The sequence below is a fragment of the Homo sapiens genome, chromosome 2 (assembly GCF_000001405.40).
Source record: "Homo sapiens chromosome 2, GRCh38.p14 Primary Assembly".
NCBI classification, from domain to species: domain Eukaryota; kingdom Metazoa; phylum Chordata; class Mammalia; order Primates; family Hominidae; genus Homo; species Homo sapiens.
In genome coordinates this window covers 69,931,839-69,945,430 of record NC_000002.12, presented here as the reverse complement: position 1 = coordinate 69,945,430, position 13,592 = coordinate 69,931,839, and the positions used below count along the sequence as shown (strand labels likewise).

Genomic DNA, 13,592 nt, shown 5'->3' with positions numbered 1-13,592 from the left:
GCCTCGCCACCCAGTTTGGGCTGAGCCCTGAACAATACTTCCTGCAGAGACCCTGCCTGTGGGACCCTTGGCCACTGGAAGCTGAATGTCCTTTACTTTTATATATATTTTAAAATAATTCCAACTTTTATTTTAGATTCAGGGGGTGCATGTGCAGATTACGAGGGTTTGTTTTTCTAGTTTTAGTTTTTTGAGACAGGGTCTCTCTCTGTCGCCCAGGCTGGAGTGTAGTGGTACAATCATAGCTCAAAGAAGCTTCGACCTCCTGGGCGCCCATCCTCCCATCTCAGCCTCCAGAGCAGCTGGGACGACAGGCCTACGTGTCCTTTATTGATGGGAAGGCCTAAGTGGGCAATGGGCCTTCCATAGTCTCTTGGCAGAGAGCCTTGGTGTGGCCCTCCTCATCTAGGTCATAGTGACATCGAAGAGGTGAGTCAAAGCTGCACTGGGTAATGGGGACTCCAGGGCCTAAGTAGAAGTCATGTACGGTAAATACTGGTTGAATAAATAAGTGATGTCACGGGGTTCGCCACCAAGACGACATGGGATAGAGAGAGTGTCTTCCTTTGAGAGCATGCTGGTTTATTCCCACTAGATCCCCAGGAGGATCAGCAGTAGAGGAGGGGGGGTCCTTCTTCACAATAGGCACAGAGGGAAGTTGAGATTGAGAGGACAGCCATGGCCTAGTAATTGTATTGTGAATTCCCATTTTTCTGCTCCACTGTCTGGAATATAAGGTCCCCTCCAAAGAAAATAGGTAGCCTCGTTCAAAGGCTTAAAAAGGAAAAGATGCCGTATATGGAAGACTGATGACAATTTGGCACAGCTCTTGCAAAAATTGGGGCAAGGGAGTGTGGGGCTCAGCAGCCCGGCTGCTGACGCTTCCAGTCCCACCCCTCACTAGCTCTGTGGGTTTGGGGCAAAATGCCTCACTTCTCTCTCCCTCAGCTTCCTTACCTGTGAAGTTTGGATAATGCTAGCGCTCCCCTCCCGGGGCCAATGTGAAGGTTCACGGAGGCCCTGCAGTGGCGCACCCAGCCCTTAGCACTCAGTAAATGTGGGCTGACCCTCGTTATGACATGGGCCCATACAGCATAACAAGTGACATTTTTTCATCCAGCTACTGTGAACAAGTCAGGAAACTTCGGAAATAAGATTTGTCATCTTGTGGGGGAGGCTATTTTATGTGAAAGCTGTCTTTCTAATTATCTACAGTTCAAAGCTTCCTCTCCGCAACCACAGTAAACAAGGGATCCTGATGCTTTAGAGAACGTAGCTTTTGTTGAGGTTGTGACCAATGCACTATTAGGTGGGTTCCATTTGGGGCTTGTCCACAGTGATGGATCCTAGAATCTCACATCCTAAAAGGGCCCAGCTGCCACCCCTACTCTTTGGAGAAAGCAGACAAGGCAGGCCACTTTCCAAAGTAGAAGTACCAGGAAGTTCCTTTTTCATCAGACCTGCAGGCAGAATGCCAATGCAGTTAACTTAAAAACCTTTCAAAAATTTTAGGTGGTTTTTAGAACAAGAAGTCATTGGTCAACAAGGAGAAAGACAACTTTTTCCTCCTCTTGACTCCGAAAAAGTGCTCTCCTGGTGTAACAAAAACAGGAAGACAGACTGCACTTGGCGAACTTGCCATGATGAGGACTTGAGCGCCAATGAGACTCACGCTGGAAAGGTGGCAGCATGAGGCAGGGGTTTGTGTGCTGTTCTTAGATGTGTCCTCACCTCTAGGACGGAGCCTGATATGGAGCAGGTACTCAAGCCGTATTTGTTCAGTGAATGAATAAATGTATACTAACCAGATGGGTTAGTATGTAAAGGAACGGACATCCTCAGCCAATGCCTCTCTCCTCTCAGTGAGTTGTGCAATCCACAAGGTCTTTCCTTTGACATGCCCCAGGTCCAGGCCACACCGCAGCCCCACGAAGCTGGACTCTGCCTGAGCACCTGCCTCACTGCCCTGGATGTTCTCCTTCCCAGCAATGCTCCTTTCCCAGCAAACACTCACTCCTCCTCCAGGGCCCAGCTCGAATGCACCACCTCTAACTTCTCATGGAGCTTTCCCACACAACTTTATTCCACAACTAATTACACTGCATTAAATTGTGTGCATATCTTTCCCAGCAGGCTACAGGCTGCTCAAAAGATGCAGAAGTCTTGGCAGTGCTTACAGCCTGCATCATTAGAGGCACCCAAAACAAAGGGCAAGTCAGCCAAGAATGAGTCAACGAGCAGGTGAAACCAGTAGGTGGGATGATGGGGCAGTGGAGAGGGTGGGACTGTGGCTAATTCTGATCAACAAATGGGCTCAACTGGAGCCACACAATCTCAATCCTCATCACAGGCTCCAAGGGCTGAAAACTTTTAGCTAGTGAAGTTTCCCTTAAATTAAAAGAAAAAAAGAAATCTGATGAACGCAGTTCTGCAAGGACAACCACGAAAGGGTAAATTGTGATACAAAACATCAGAAAGACCAAAATTTCTTTAATAATGAAATAATTTATTATTTGTTAACAGTTGAACAATACAGTTTACATATACACAGCAAAGATTCTCTAAAACATGTAGTAGTTTCTAAAAATGCATGTGCTAACTGTAGTAAAAAGCACCATTCTCTATGATCTTGACACAGGATTTACATTGGCGTCATATTTACATAAAGAAACATCTGGAAACAGAATAGCATACCCTTTCATCTGCTGCTCCCCTGTCAGGCTGTGTGTAGCATTAGGAAGATGGCCCCCCAAAAATGATGGTAACAGCAATATTCCAAGAGCACCAATTCTAGGGATGGGGTAAAGGCAAGTTTGGTTGTCAGGTAAAAGCTAAAATGAAGAATGCTCCCTCAACTTGCCACCCCACAGAGAGAAGAAATCAAAATGTAAAAATCTGGATAAATCTTAACATTGGGTGCCTTATGAATTCTCACTTTATGATTTTGAGAGAAGGTCAAATACTCAATCTCTTCAGCCATTCAATAGCTGAATCTAGCAGTGCCTGTCAATTTCTTCTTTCAGAAGAATCTGAGAAAATCATCCATGTAATATTGATAATGAAAAAAACCATGATAAATCACCTATTGCACACCCCACCCTCTAACCCAGTTATCTTTGAAAGCAAAGCATCCTACAGTCTATAGAGATCAGAGGATGTAGAATGAGAAACCACCTCATCGAAAAGGGTCTTTGGGTTGTCTTCTACCAGGAAGAGTTTTTAAATAGGAGTAGCCAGCTACTAGACACGCTAAACACACTGCATCAGAGTCAAACATAGAAAAAGAATAGATTGACATGCAAGAAATTGCGTTTAGCCTTTTACTACCTGATGTTCAACACTCAGGGAAGGCAAAGGGGGACAGACAAACTTGGGGAAACAAAGAAGAAACAGAAAAGACCAGGATGTTAAAGTCTCCTGTGTGGTTCATGAAAAAATAGAAAATAAAAAAAGACCAAGACTTGGGGGAAGAAATAGACTGTAAAGGACAATGATAGTGGTATTCTCGCCAATACAGTATGGTATAAAAACCTAAATAATAATATGTGTGTGTGTGTGTGTGTGTGTATATATAGATACTTTTCAAAAATAAGTTCTCTCTTGAAAGGATGGGGAAGAGGCAAGAAGAAATAAGCCCACAAAATCTATTCTCAAGCTCCAAGATATTGCTAGATGGTTATTTTGAGCATCACAATCCTACCTAGTTTACACTTTTTTCTTATCCCCCAGGATTTGCTCTTGGCCGCTTTGGGGATGCAGAAGAGAGGCCCATAGGAAACTCAGGTTGAGGCCCCTTTGTTGCTTTTGAAAAAGTAGAGGTTAAAGGAAAATGCCCACCTTAAAAAATAAAAACAAAACAAAACACTCAAGTGGCCAACTGCAGGACGAGGGCCTACTTAATGTTCAGTTCTGAATCAACACTGAAATTATTTTCATCTTAGGTTGACAGGGAAAATCTAGGTCCTGCCTAAAAATGTGATGCATTTTGAATCACTAAACTAGCATTAGGTGTGTGACTACAGAAAGGAGCCAGCAGTTGCTATCAGCACCTTGAAGAATTCAAGATCTCTGCTTAGCAAAAGAAAACCAAAATACAGACGACCTGGGTGCTCGGCCCACCATTCAAAGCCAACAGGGGATGGAAAGCTATGTTTTCAGGATGTTACAGAAGCACACATATATATTTTCCCACTGCATGAAATTAAATTAGACTGCGTACTCTTATTTTTCCCACTTGCGTTATGATGGTATCAATAAGAGTGCAGTTTAGATTTTTTTAGTTTTTTAAAATCAACTTTCACATAAAAATATGCATGTGCCTATATTTATACACATCTGTATTTACGTACAATTGTCAAAGTCTTAAAGGCTGGGGTTTATATCTCTGCCCATCCCCTCCCAACCCCAAAATCCCTAATAGAAAGGTTTTCATCTTGCTTAAAAAGACAAAACAACTAAAAAGACTATAGCTCTTAGCAGTCAGGCTGGTGGATCAGTGAATGAGAGAGGACAAATTGGCGAATCAGGGCTGCCGATCAGCCGCACGGGGCGCGGAGGATGGGGTTGGGGGGATTAGCTGCCTTGGGCTGAGTTTGCTGGTCCTGAAGATTACAGTTTTGGTTAGAGAGAGAAGCCTGTCTAGCATGCTGACTCGGTCTACCTCAAGCTTTGAAAGTAATGTCTAACCCTGCTGCCAGTTTATCACAAGTGCATTAAAAATATAGAGATCTATCAAGTTCCACATTTATATGCAATCAAACTGAAAAGGACCAGACAAACAGTGCAAAGGTCAAATAATTACTGTTTTATATTGGGACAGTACATTTCAGATTTCAACCAAAAGACAAAAATGCAGTTTAACTCAAAGGCACAACAATTGAAACACAGAAAATAATGGCATCTCTTGGATGCCTTATTTCTAAATTAAACAAAGAAGTACACAAATTTTGTTCCCTTCCCTCCCCCAGTGCAAGCCCACAAGCTTTTTCCAAAGTCTTGAGCTTTTGATGCTGTCCCGCATTGTGGACTTGTGAGGCGCTTGGATGTAGCAATGAAACAAAATGCTTGAGAGGTCTAGTGAATGGCATTCAAAAGGGACCTCAAAGTGCAGACATATCTTTTTCAAATATGTTACAGGCTGAACTGGCTCTTTGAACACTATCACTCTGCTTAAATCCAGGAAGCAGGCTTTAAAAATGCAAAAGGCATACAAGTTGTATTTCAGTGCAAATCTTTAGCTGGTTATTGGAAAAGATTCCAAAAATTAAAAAAAAAAAAAAAAAATCCTTTGTGTCACCTGCCCCTCCCCCCACCCAAAGCCAAAATGAAGAAAAGACAGAACAAAACAAAAACAGAAGAATTACAGGTGACTTTGGAATCATTTAGGAATCCACTACTTCCAATCAGAATGTTTAGAAAAATACATTAAAGAATCATTTTTTAAAAAACACAAAAGTAATCTTGCTTTCTGAGACTGCTCTTCGGGTATAGAATGAGCTTCCGTGTGGAGTGCGTTTGAACTTTGACCTTAGCTGTGTGCGAGGTGCAGGCGCTGGGGGAGCTTCAGGCTGTGGTGTGCGAGTGACCGCAGGGGAGCGTGGGGTGGCTGCCCGCTGCCGAGTCAGCCGTTGAGCCCTTAGGTCGCAGTGCGTCCGTGGATTTTAGTAATGTTCTCATCACTTTGTGACACACTCTGCTTCAGCATCACAGATTTTACAAATGGTTCAAATTCAATGAAAAAGATTCGCCAGAGGCTGAAAACATCAAGACCTCAAAAATATGAATGCAAAAATATTCAGGGGAATGAACTAATTTTGTAGATACCTACATACAAAGTTTCTAGAACATCTATAAAACCACAAAGTCATAAGAATTTGTTTTCCATTACATTAGTTTATATAAAATGAATAAATAGTATTTATAGATTTAATGTGTCTTATGTACATATACATGTGCTCTGTTTTAGCTTAAATAAAAATGCTACAAAGTCGGAGACCACTTAAGGGAGAAATCATAACCAAAAAGAAAAATCAGCCTTTTAAACTATCAACCCAAAAGCCTCCATAAAGAAGTTTCTGGGTGTGTCCAAAAATAATCAATAAGGAGAGGAGTTCTAGTAACAGTGTACCATCCTCTCCTGTTCACCTGCAACAGAGAGTAGAAATGTGGACTTTTTCTTTCACTGATAATGGCTACTAGCTCTGCTAGTGCCACAGCTCAGTTATTGCTGAAAGTTCAATAGGAAAATAGATTATAATTGGACCAAATGTCACTATTTTGGGGGGGGAAAAAAGGATAATCACTGTGTTAAGTGGGAAATGGAGATCTCATTTATCTCTGAGGTAGGAAAAAAAAATGTTCCAGAGACAAGTAGCATTAACAAAGTTGGAGGGGAGAATGTGCCTCGAGATAGCAGAACACAGCGAGGTCCCAAGAACATCGCACAAAAATAGATTGTACCGTTTTGTTTGTGAGAACAAACAATTTGGAACTTTGATGAGCTGTGCAACCCCAGAGACACACTATCAAGGTGTCCATTTTAAAGTGAGAAATACTGCTCCCATCCACACGCGGCGCGTCGGGGGAATGAGCATGCGCGGTGTGAAGGGCGTGTTTTCTAGAGGTATTCCTGACTTCCTCACTGGTGGTGAGGTCCATGGTTAAGTGCTCTTAAATGCTGCTTTCAAAGCTTACTTTGGAGTTCTGAGATCAGGATCTCAATTTCAAAAGTTTGTTTCCTTCAGTTTCCTAAGTACAAGACACACTTGGACATTCCTCCTAGGCAAGTAACACAGTAAGCCAGAAAACTGGAAGAAAGGTCTGGGAGAGGACACGAGGAGAGCAAAGAGGGGGATTGCTGAGATGTGGACATTGCTTATTCGGTCTAAGAATTCTTGGATGCTTCAAATTGATTGGAATGTATAGTCTCTCAGAGACAAATTTTTATGGCGAGAAAAAGAGAAGCTAGTGGATGCAATCAGAAACCCACAATCCTAAGCACCTCCTTGAAAACAGTTACAAAGCTGATTTTGGTCAAGGTGGGACACTGAAGTTTACGTGCAAGGGAGTTGTGGGCAGGTCCAATACGTTACCTAATCAGAACCAACAGGGAGAACCTTCAAGGAGACAGCCGCAGTGCCCACTCTCTTAGAGACCAAGACACGCCTTGTGACTGTCCTGCAGCTTTATTCTCTTGATGCTGGTGCTGGAATAGCCCTCATCACTGCCGAGGCTCTGCATGCTGCCCCGCTCGTCAGAGTCGCTCACACTGCTGCTGCTCCAGTCCAGATCACCTGTGAGATAGTCCGTGCTCTCCACGTCAACGTCGATTTCTTCTGCAGGGAGGACAAGAGAGAAGGACATTGATGAAAGCGCTCTGCAGAAAGCTCAGGCGTGGTGGCTCATGCTTGTAATCCCAGCACTTTGGGAGGCAAAGGCGGGTGGATCACTTGAGGTTAGGAGTTTGAGACCAGCTGGGCCAACACAGTGAAACCCTGTTTCTACTAATACAAAAATTTGGCTGGGTGTGGTGGCTCACGCCTGTAATCCCAGCACTTTGGGAGGCCAAGGTGGGTGAATTACTTGAGGTCAGGAGTTCGAGACCAGCCTGGCCAATATGGTGAAACCTCATCTCTACAAAAATAGGAAAATTTGCCAGGCATTGTGGTGTGTGCCTGTAATCCCAGCTGCTTGGGAGGCTTAGGCAGGGGAATCGCTTGAACCCGGGAGGCGGAGGTTGCAGTGAGCCAAGATCACACCACTGCACTCCAGCCTGGGTGACAGAGCAAGATTCCGTCTCAAAACAAAACAAAACAAACTAGGCTGAAAACTGACACCAATCAAACTCTTCTGGGGTTGTCACCTAAGTGTTAGCAGGGAGAAGGAACCTGTCACTGGAGGTCACACTGTTCGACTTCTCTACATCATACCCAGTGTCTTAGTTCTTCTTACACTCTGCCTCCTGTCCGCAGTACTGAACCCCTGCTCTGGGGTTGGGGAGCACAAGGGAGACAGGGAGGAGAGTGAGAGAGGCTCACCCCTGTCGGAGTCGGAGCGCTCCGAGGAGACGGTGGAGCCGATGCTGTCCATCCGGATCCTCTCAATGCCCAGCTTCTCCAGCTGCCTCTTCAGGTGTCGCTGCTCTCGCTGAAGCTGGTCGATTTGGTGAACGGCTTTTCTGTCACAATCTTCAAGTTTCTGCAAGTCAAAGGGGTAGTTGTTGGGCCCCACAGGGAGATCTCTAAATGGGCAATGGCCCCCGCATCTTCCCTTCTAGCAGTGGAATGCGCCACACTTCCTCAGACGCCTTTCGGTGCCACTCATCAAGCTTCTCCCTGAGACAGGAAGTCGACTGGCCAGTGACTCCTGGCTTCGTCTGACTCTTCAGCATCGCCAGTGCTGGGGGTACTTGTCCTGTCACAGGGATTCTGGGGGTGAGCTCTCACATACTGGCACCCTGGTAGCCCTCAGTTTTAGTATCAGAAAGACTGCAGGCAGCAGTCCCCAACCTGATCTCCCTTGTTTGCAGCAATCCCCTGAACACCTGATCTCCGGACTAGAAAACTGCACTTGATGGGAGCTTAAGAAACACGCTTCCATTTAAAACTATGTTTATTCAAGTACATGTCCCAATTACATAAGCACTTTTTTGTGTCATGCCAAATCTCAATTAACTTCTGTTTGTTAGCAGGAAATAATAGTCCCTTTTGATGTCCTGATTCTAATTTGTCCAACAGAAGAGTTTAGAAAACACATTTCCATAGAATACTCATTTTTATAAATCTGCCCCCAGCTTCTCATATTCTTCAGATAATTAAGAAGATTGTTTAATTGTAGCTGTTTTGCTTTAAATAGAGGTTTTCTCCCAGAATTGTCATGAATGCAGGCTTCTAACCATAATTAAAGTAACATTTGTCCAACTATAATATGATTATACAAACATGCTAAACAGGGATTTTGGCTGTGGCTCTCAAGACTTTGAATCCAATTCCCCTTACCCTTTGCTATTCAGGTAGCAAAGAGAGTGTCAACTCTGTGCCCGATACCCTAGGAGGTGCTGGGGCTGTGAGGTGAGCACAAAGACCCAGTCCCCTCCCTCGTGGGGTGTATAGTCTAAGGATTGAGACAACACAATGGTCACACAAACCACTGTCAAATGTCAGTTATGACAGGGCTAAGAGATACCCAGTGATGGGACCACCTGTCACAGGAAGGAGGTCACTGAGTTGGGAAAGTCAGCGAAGGATTATCAGAGCTAGAGAGACTTGCACTGTGATCTGAAGAATAAGTAGAAGTCCTCTAGGTGAAGAAGAGAGAGGAAAGTGTACCAAGCAGAGGGAAGAGCATTGACAAAGGCCCTAAAGTAAGACAATATGACAGTGCCAGGGACTGGAAGAAGGGCTGGAGAAAGGGGAATTGGGGAACAAGATGGTGCTGCAGAGGCAAGTGAGGACCAGGCAAGGCAGAATCTGGGGCAGACCAGGTGACAGAGCTTGTCCTGAGCCACAGAAGAATTTTAAACAAGGTCACGTGTTGATTTGCACCTTGGAAGGACTGTTCTCAGGAAGCATGGAAAGCAGACGGGAGGGACCCAGAGGGATATAGGGAGACCTCTGAGGATTTTATTGCAGTAGACAGTGGGGATGAAGATGGAAGTAGACCGGTTGCAAAATATTTAGGCCTTGGAGATGGCCTAGATATATGGTTAAGGAGCAGGAGCTATCACGGACTCCTGAATTTCTGGCTTGTACAACTGGATGGAGAGTTGGATGGACCATTTAACCTCTGGTGCATGGGAGTGAGAAACACTCAGTTGGGTTTTGAATATGTTGCATTTGAGGTACCTGTGATTCATCCAATAGCTAGACTGGAGGAGTTCAGGGGAGAGGACTGTCCTGGAGATGTAACAACAGACAAACCCTCACTGAACAGGTAAAGATAAAGCAGCATCCCAACAATACACTTACCTTTATGTGCAATTTGGCTTTTGTTAATAAACTCAACGTAGTGTGTCGACTTGATTCGGGTCCAAGTGGCACCAGCCCCTTCAACTTCTCCAGGCACAAGCGAAGATGAGCCCGTCTATGAAAACAAGACCACAGTAGCATTTGAGAGTTTCACAGTGGGCCAGAAGCACCCCAGGCAGAATGAGTTCTCAAAGAGTGTGAAGTTGCCCAGGCCTTGCGATGGCAAATGCTACCAATGACCTTTTGCTGAATAAACATATTTTGAACCAGACAACTCTGGTGAAAACCAATGAGAAGCAAAATCCAAGGTTTTCGAAGCTAAGTCTATTGATAATACAAGTGCTGGGGTAGGGAATAATATCTGCTATTATATAGTCATTCACATGTGTAAATACTATATACAGTAATGGTCCCTGACTCATGATGGTTCAACTTACAATTTTTTAAATTTATAATGAGTTTATTGAAGTATTAAATGCATATTAGACTTGGGATGTTTTTTATTTATGATGGGCTTCTTGAGACATAACCCCATCATAAGTCAAGGAGCATATATATCTGTGGAGTTATTTGTTGAAGCTTTATTTGTAATAGCAAAGATTGAAACAACCCAAATGACCACCCAGGAGGGAACTGGTTAAATAAATTATGCTACATCCACACCGTGTAGTACTATGTAGCTATCAAAAAGAATGAGAATGTGCTTTATGTCCTATTAGGAAAGATTTTCCAGATATATTGTTAAGTGGAGAAAAGCAAGATTCCAAACTGTGAGTATACCATGCTATCTTAAAGATGGAGGAAAACAAGAATCTATATTCATGTTTTCTTGTATGTAGACAAACTCTGGAATGACACATAAGAAACTGGCTGGGCAGGGAGAAGGCAAGGAACAGTCAGACAGAGATAAGGAAGGAAGTGATGGGGGTTTTTACTGAGTCATTTTTTATACTTTTTGTTCTTGGAGTATGTCAGACTGATGCAATGGCACGGAGTGGGAGAGGGAGAAGGGCTGGATGAAGCAGCAGCCACGGCAACTGACTGAAGAGAGAGCACGAGAGTTGCTCCAACTGAGAAATTTACATTTCCTTGAAATGGTTTGTGCTTTATTCTAGAACCTGGAAAATTCTATGAATGTAAGAAGCAGCTGAGATTTGGGGGTTTTGCTTAAGCTTACCACCTCCTTAAAGCCTTCCCAAGCCATCCTAGCTCACAGTGATTCCTCTATTTTCTAAGCACCACTTAACTGTTTATATTATTCACTGGGAAGTTCACTGTACTGCCTGACTTGTTTCATATTTCTTACTTAACCATTCATTGCAGTCTCCTTAGAAAGTCAGGATTGCAGCTTAATCATTGCTGTGCTGTCACCGTGCCTCAAACACACACATGCTTAATAAGTGTTTGCTGAATGGATTATGTCATCTATTCAACTAGACTTTAAGCTTCTAGAGGACAGAGTCCATCTCTACTGCATCTTTGCACCTTCAGCAGTGCTCAGAGTCTTCAGGTTTTAGATAACATTCATTGCCCACACACAACCTACTTGGAGCAGAGTTCCCTGGGGTCTAGGAGGCTCCCCTCCAGCTGAATTGGGAAACAATGCAATGCCTTATAGGTTTGCCCTTTTTCCTCTTAAGAATTGTACTGTAATAGCAAAAGTTGAAAATATAGACCAAAGAAAGGAAATGGCTTCAGAAAGCTATAGGACAGGTGAATATGCATGATATTAATGTAAGAAGTCAATTCACACTCTCCAGGGAGACTTCAGGATGTTCCCCTAAGGCAGGGCTAGTAAGCAAGGCATTAGACTTCCTTCCTTCTGAGCCTCCTGCCTCTTCTAGGTCATGAGGAAGTTGTCCTAAACTCTCCAAGGGTGCTCTAAGGCTTGGCAAGCTTGGGGAGTACAGCATTCATTTCTGAGCTAGGAAGAGGTAATAGCACAAGGGCTTTACTATTTTGTAAGTCTTTCACTTCTTCTGAAAAACCTGTCCATGTGGCAGAGTCAGAGCAAAGACTCATGTTACAGGTGTGCTCCTCCCACTACTGCATGTGGTGGGGACCAGGGAAGGGAAGAAAACTTGTATGTAAAATATACTTGTTCATCTTGGATAATATTCTTCAAAAAGAGCCATGAAAATAGATCATGTTATTAGAAACACTATGAGAAAGTATAATTTATACATTTATAAATTTGTCTATTTCTTGCCATAAAACTTATAGACTAATTTTCTTTTTTTGTTTTTTTTTTTTTTTTTTTTTTTTGAGACAGAGTTCTTGCTCTTGTCGCCCAGGCTGGAGTACAGTGCCGTGATCTCAGCTCATGGCAACCTCTGCCTCCCAGGCTCAACAGATTCTCCTTCTTCAGCCTCCTGAGTATCTGGGATTACAGGCGCCCGCCACCACGTCCGGCTAATTTTTGTATTTTTAGCAGAGATGGGGTTTCACCATGTTGGCCAGGCTGGTCTCGAACTCCTGACCTCAAGCAATCTGCCTGCCTCAGCCTCCCAAAGTGCTGGGATTACAGGTATGAGCTAATTTTCCAATTAGAAGAAAAAGTTCAAAAATTAAAATTATATTTAGATATTTTTCAGCCAGCTTGTTATTTGCAAAGACTGCATGATTCAGAACAGTGTCATTTTAGTACTTTTATGATGTTGGTTTATATGCAGATATGAGTGTGTGAATTTTTTTAGGAAGTTTGTCCACTGATAAAAATATAATAAAGTCATCTTTTGATGCATTGTCATTTCTAGCCTTATAGGAGTCTTGCCCAGAAAGTGCAATTTTCACTACCCAAATGTGGGTTTCCAAAGAACACTCCTAGTCGTGAAACTAGAAATAAGCCATTTGACTAATTCCAGCTGAGACTAATACTTGTTCATTCAGTGTTTTCTGGCCTAGTTCTACAAAAATAGGACCAGAATTCTTTCTGGATTTTTGCAGAGACCCAAAGCCAACTCTGTCTTTGGCAGTGTCTGCCTTGGCCTTCTCCGGCGCCTCACTGCTGCAGCCTGATGGCTGCCCCCTGCCCACATGCCACTGCCTGCAGACATCCCCACACTGGTGCCCGGGCCAACCACAGGAGAGCAATGAAATATATTAAGTAGACTCAGTTCTATCATACAGTAGTGAAATCCAATCCCTGAACCAGATAAAAAAGCAAACAGACCCCTCTGTTATGTACAGCTCCTACCAAAGCTCTCCAACCCTGACACACACACACATACACAGACACACATACAGACACACAAACTCCTGGGATCTAGAATCCCTCTGCCAGCCCTGAGTACCCACGGAGCTCCCAGATCCAAAACAAGCAGAACAAACACCCGTCTCAGCTCTCTTTTCTCAGTTCTGACTACTCCTGTGCCCTGCTGTCCCATTTTAAACCAGGTCAAACTCCCATTTGGGGAACTAGCAGGGGTTTTGCCATATATCCTCAACAGGAAGCCACCCGACACCTCAGTGTGACCCAGGAAGTTGACTCTCCTCCCATCACATCTTCTTCAGTCTTCCCTCTGTTGCCAAGAGCTACCTCCCATCTTCCTGGCACCCGGCTGCCTCTTCCTTTAGCACTGATCCACACTGCTTTGTACCTAGGCCATGGACTAACAAACTTCACCT

At 43.8% G+C, this 13,592-nt stretch overlaps 2 protein-coding genes across 5 annotated transcripts in view, besides 1 other annotated feature; one reads left to right on the top strand and one right to left on the bottom strand.

Annotated features, from left to right (window-relative positions):
- The window catches only part of ASPRV1 (aspartic peptidase retroviral like 1), a 154,659-nt gene extending 141,945 nt beyond the window's left edge, over positions 1-12,714 (top strand). The window contains exon 8 of one of the 2 annotated variants that reach the window (NR_170375.1): positions 12,238-12,714. The gene's annotated coding sequence lies outside the window, so the exon portion shown is untranslated. Of the gene's footprint in view, positions 1-1,512; positions 3,526-12,237 lie in introns of those variants that run through there. The other variant, NR_170376.1, reaches the window with a different exon arrangement.
- MXD1 (MAX dimerization protein 1) overlaps positions 2,486-13,592 on the bottom strand; it is a 27,837-nt gene continuing 16,730 nt past the window's right edge. For 2 of the 3 annotated variants that reach the window (NM_002357.4, NM_001202514.2), the window contains 3 exons: positions 9,966-10,080; positions 8,037-8,196; positions 2,486-7,334 (listed from right to left, as the gene is read on the bottom strand). In NM_002357.4, coding sequence (NP_002348.1) covers positions 7,147-7,334; positions 8,037-8,196; positions 9,966-10,080 — 463 coding nt within the window. In that variant the 3' untranslated portion in view covers positions 2,486-7,146. The remainder of the gene's footprint in view (positions 7,335-8,036; positions 8,197-9,965; positions 10,081-13,592) is intronic. The other variant, NM_001202513.2, reaches the window with a different exon arrangement.
- Positions 7,587-8,122: an enhancer, noted in NCBI's record as "H3K4me1 hESC enhancer chr2:70164441-70164976 (GRCh37/hg19 assembly coordinates)". NCBI's record gives its function as "activates a minimal SCP1, AML or CMV promoter by ChIP-STARR-seq in primed H9 embryonic stem cells {active_cell/tissue: H9 hESC(primed)}" and the evidence as "EXISTENCE:reporter gene assay evidence [ECO:0000049][PMID:30033119]".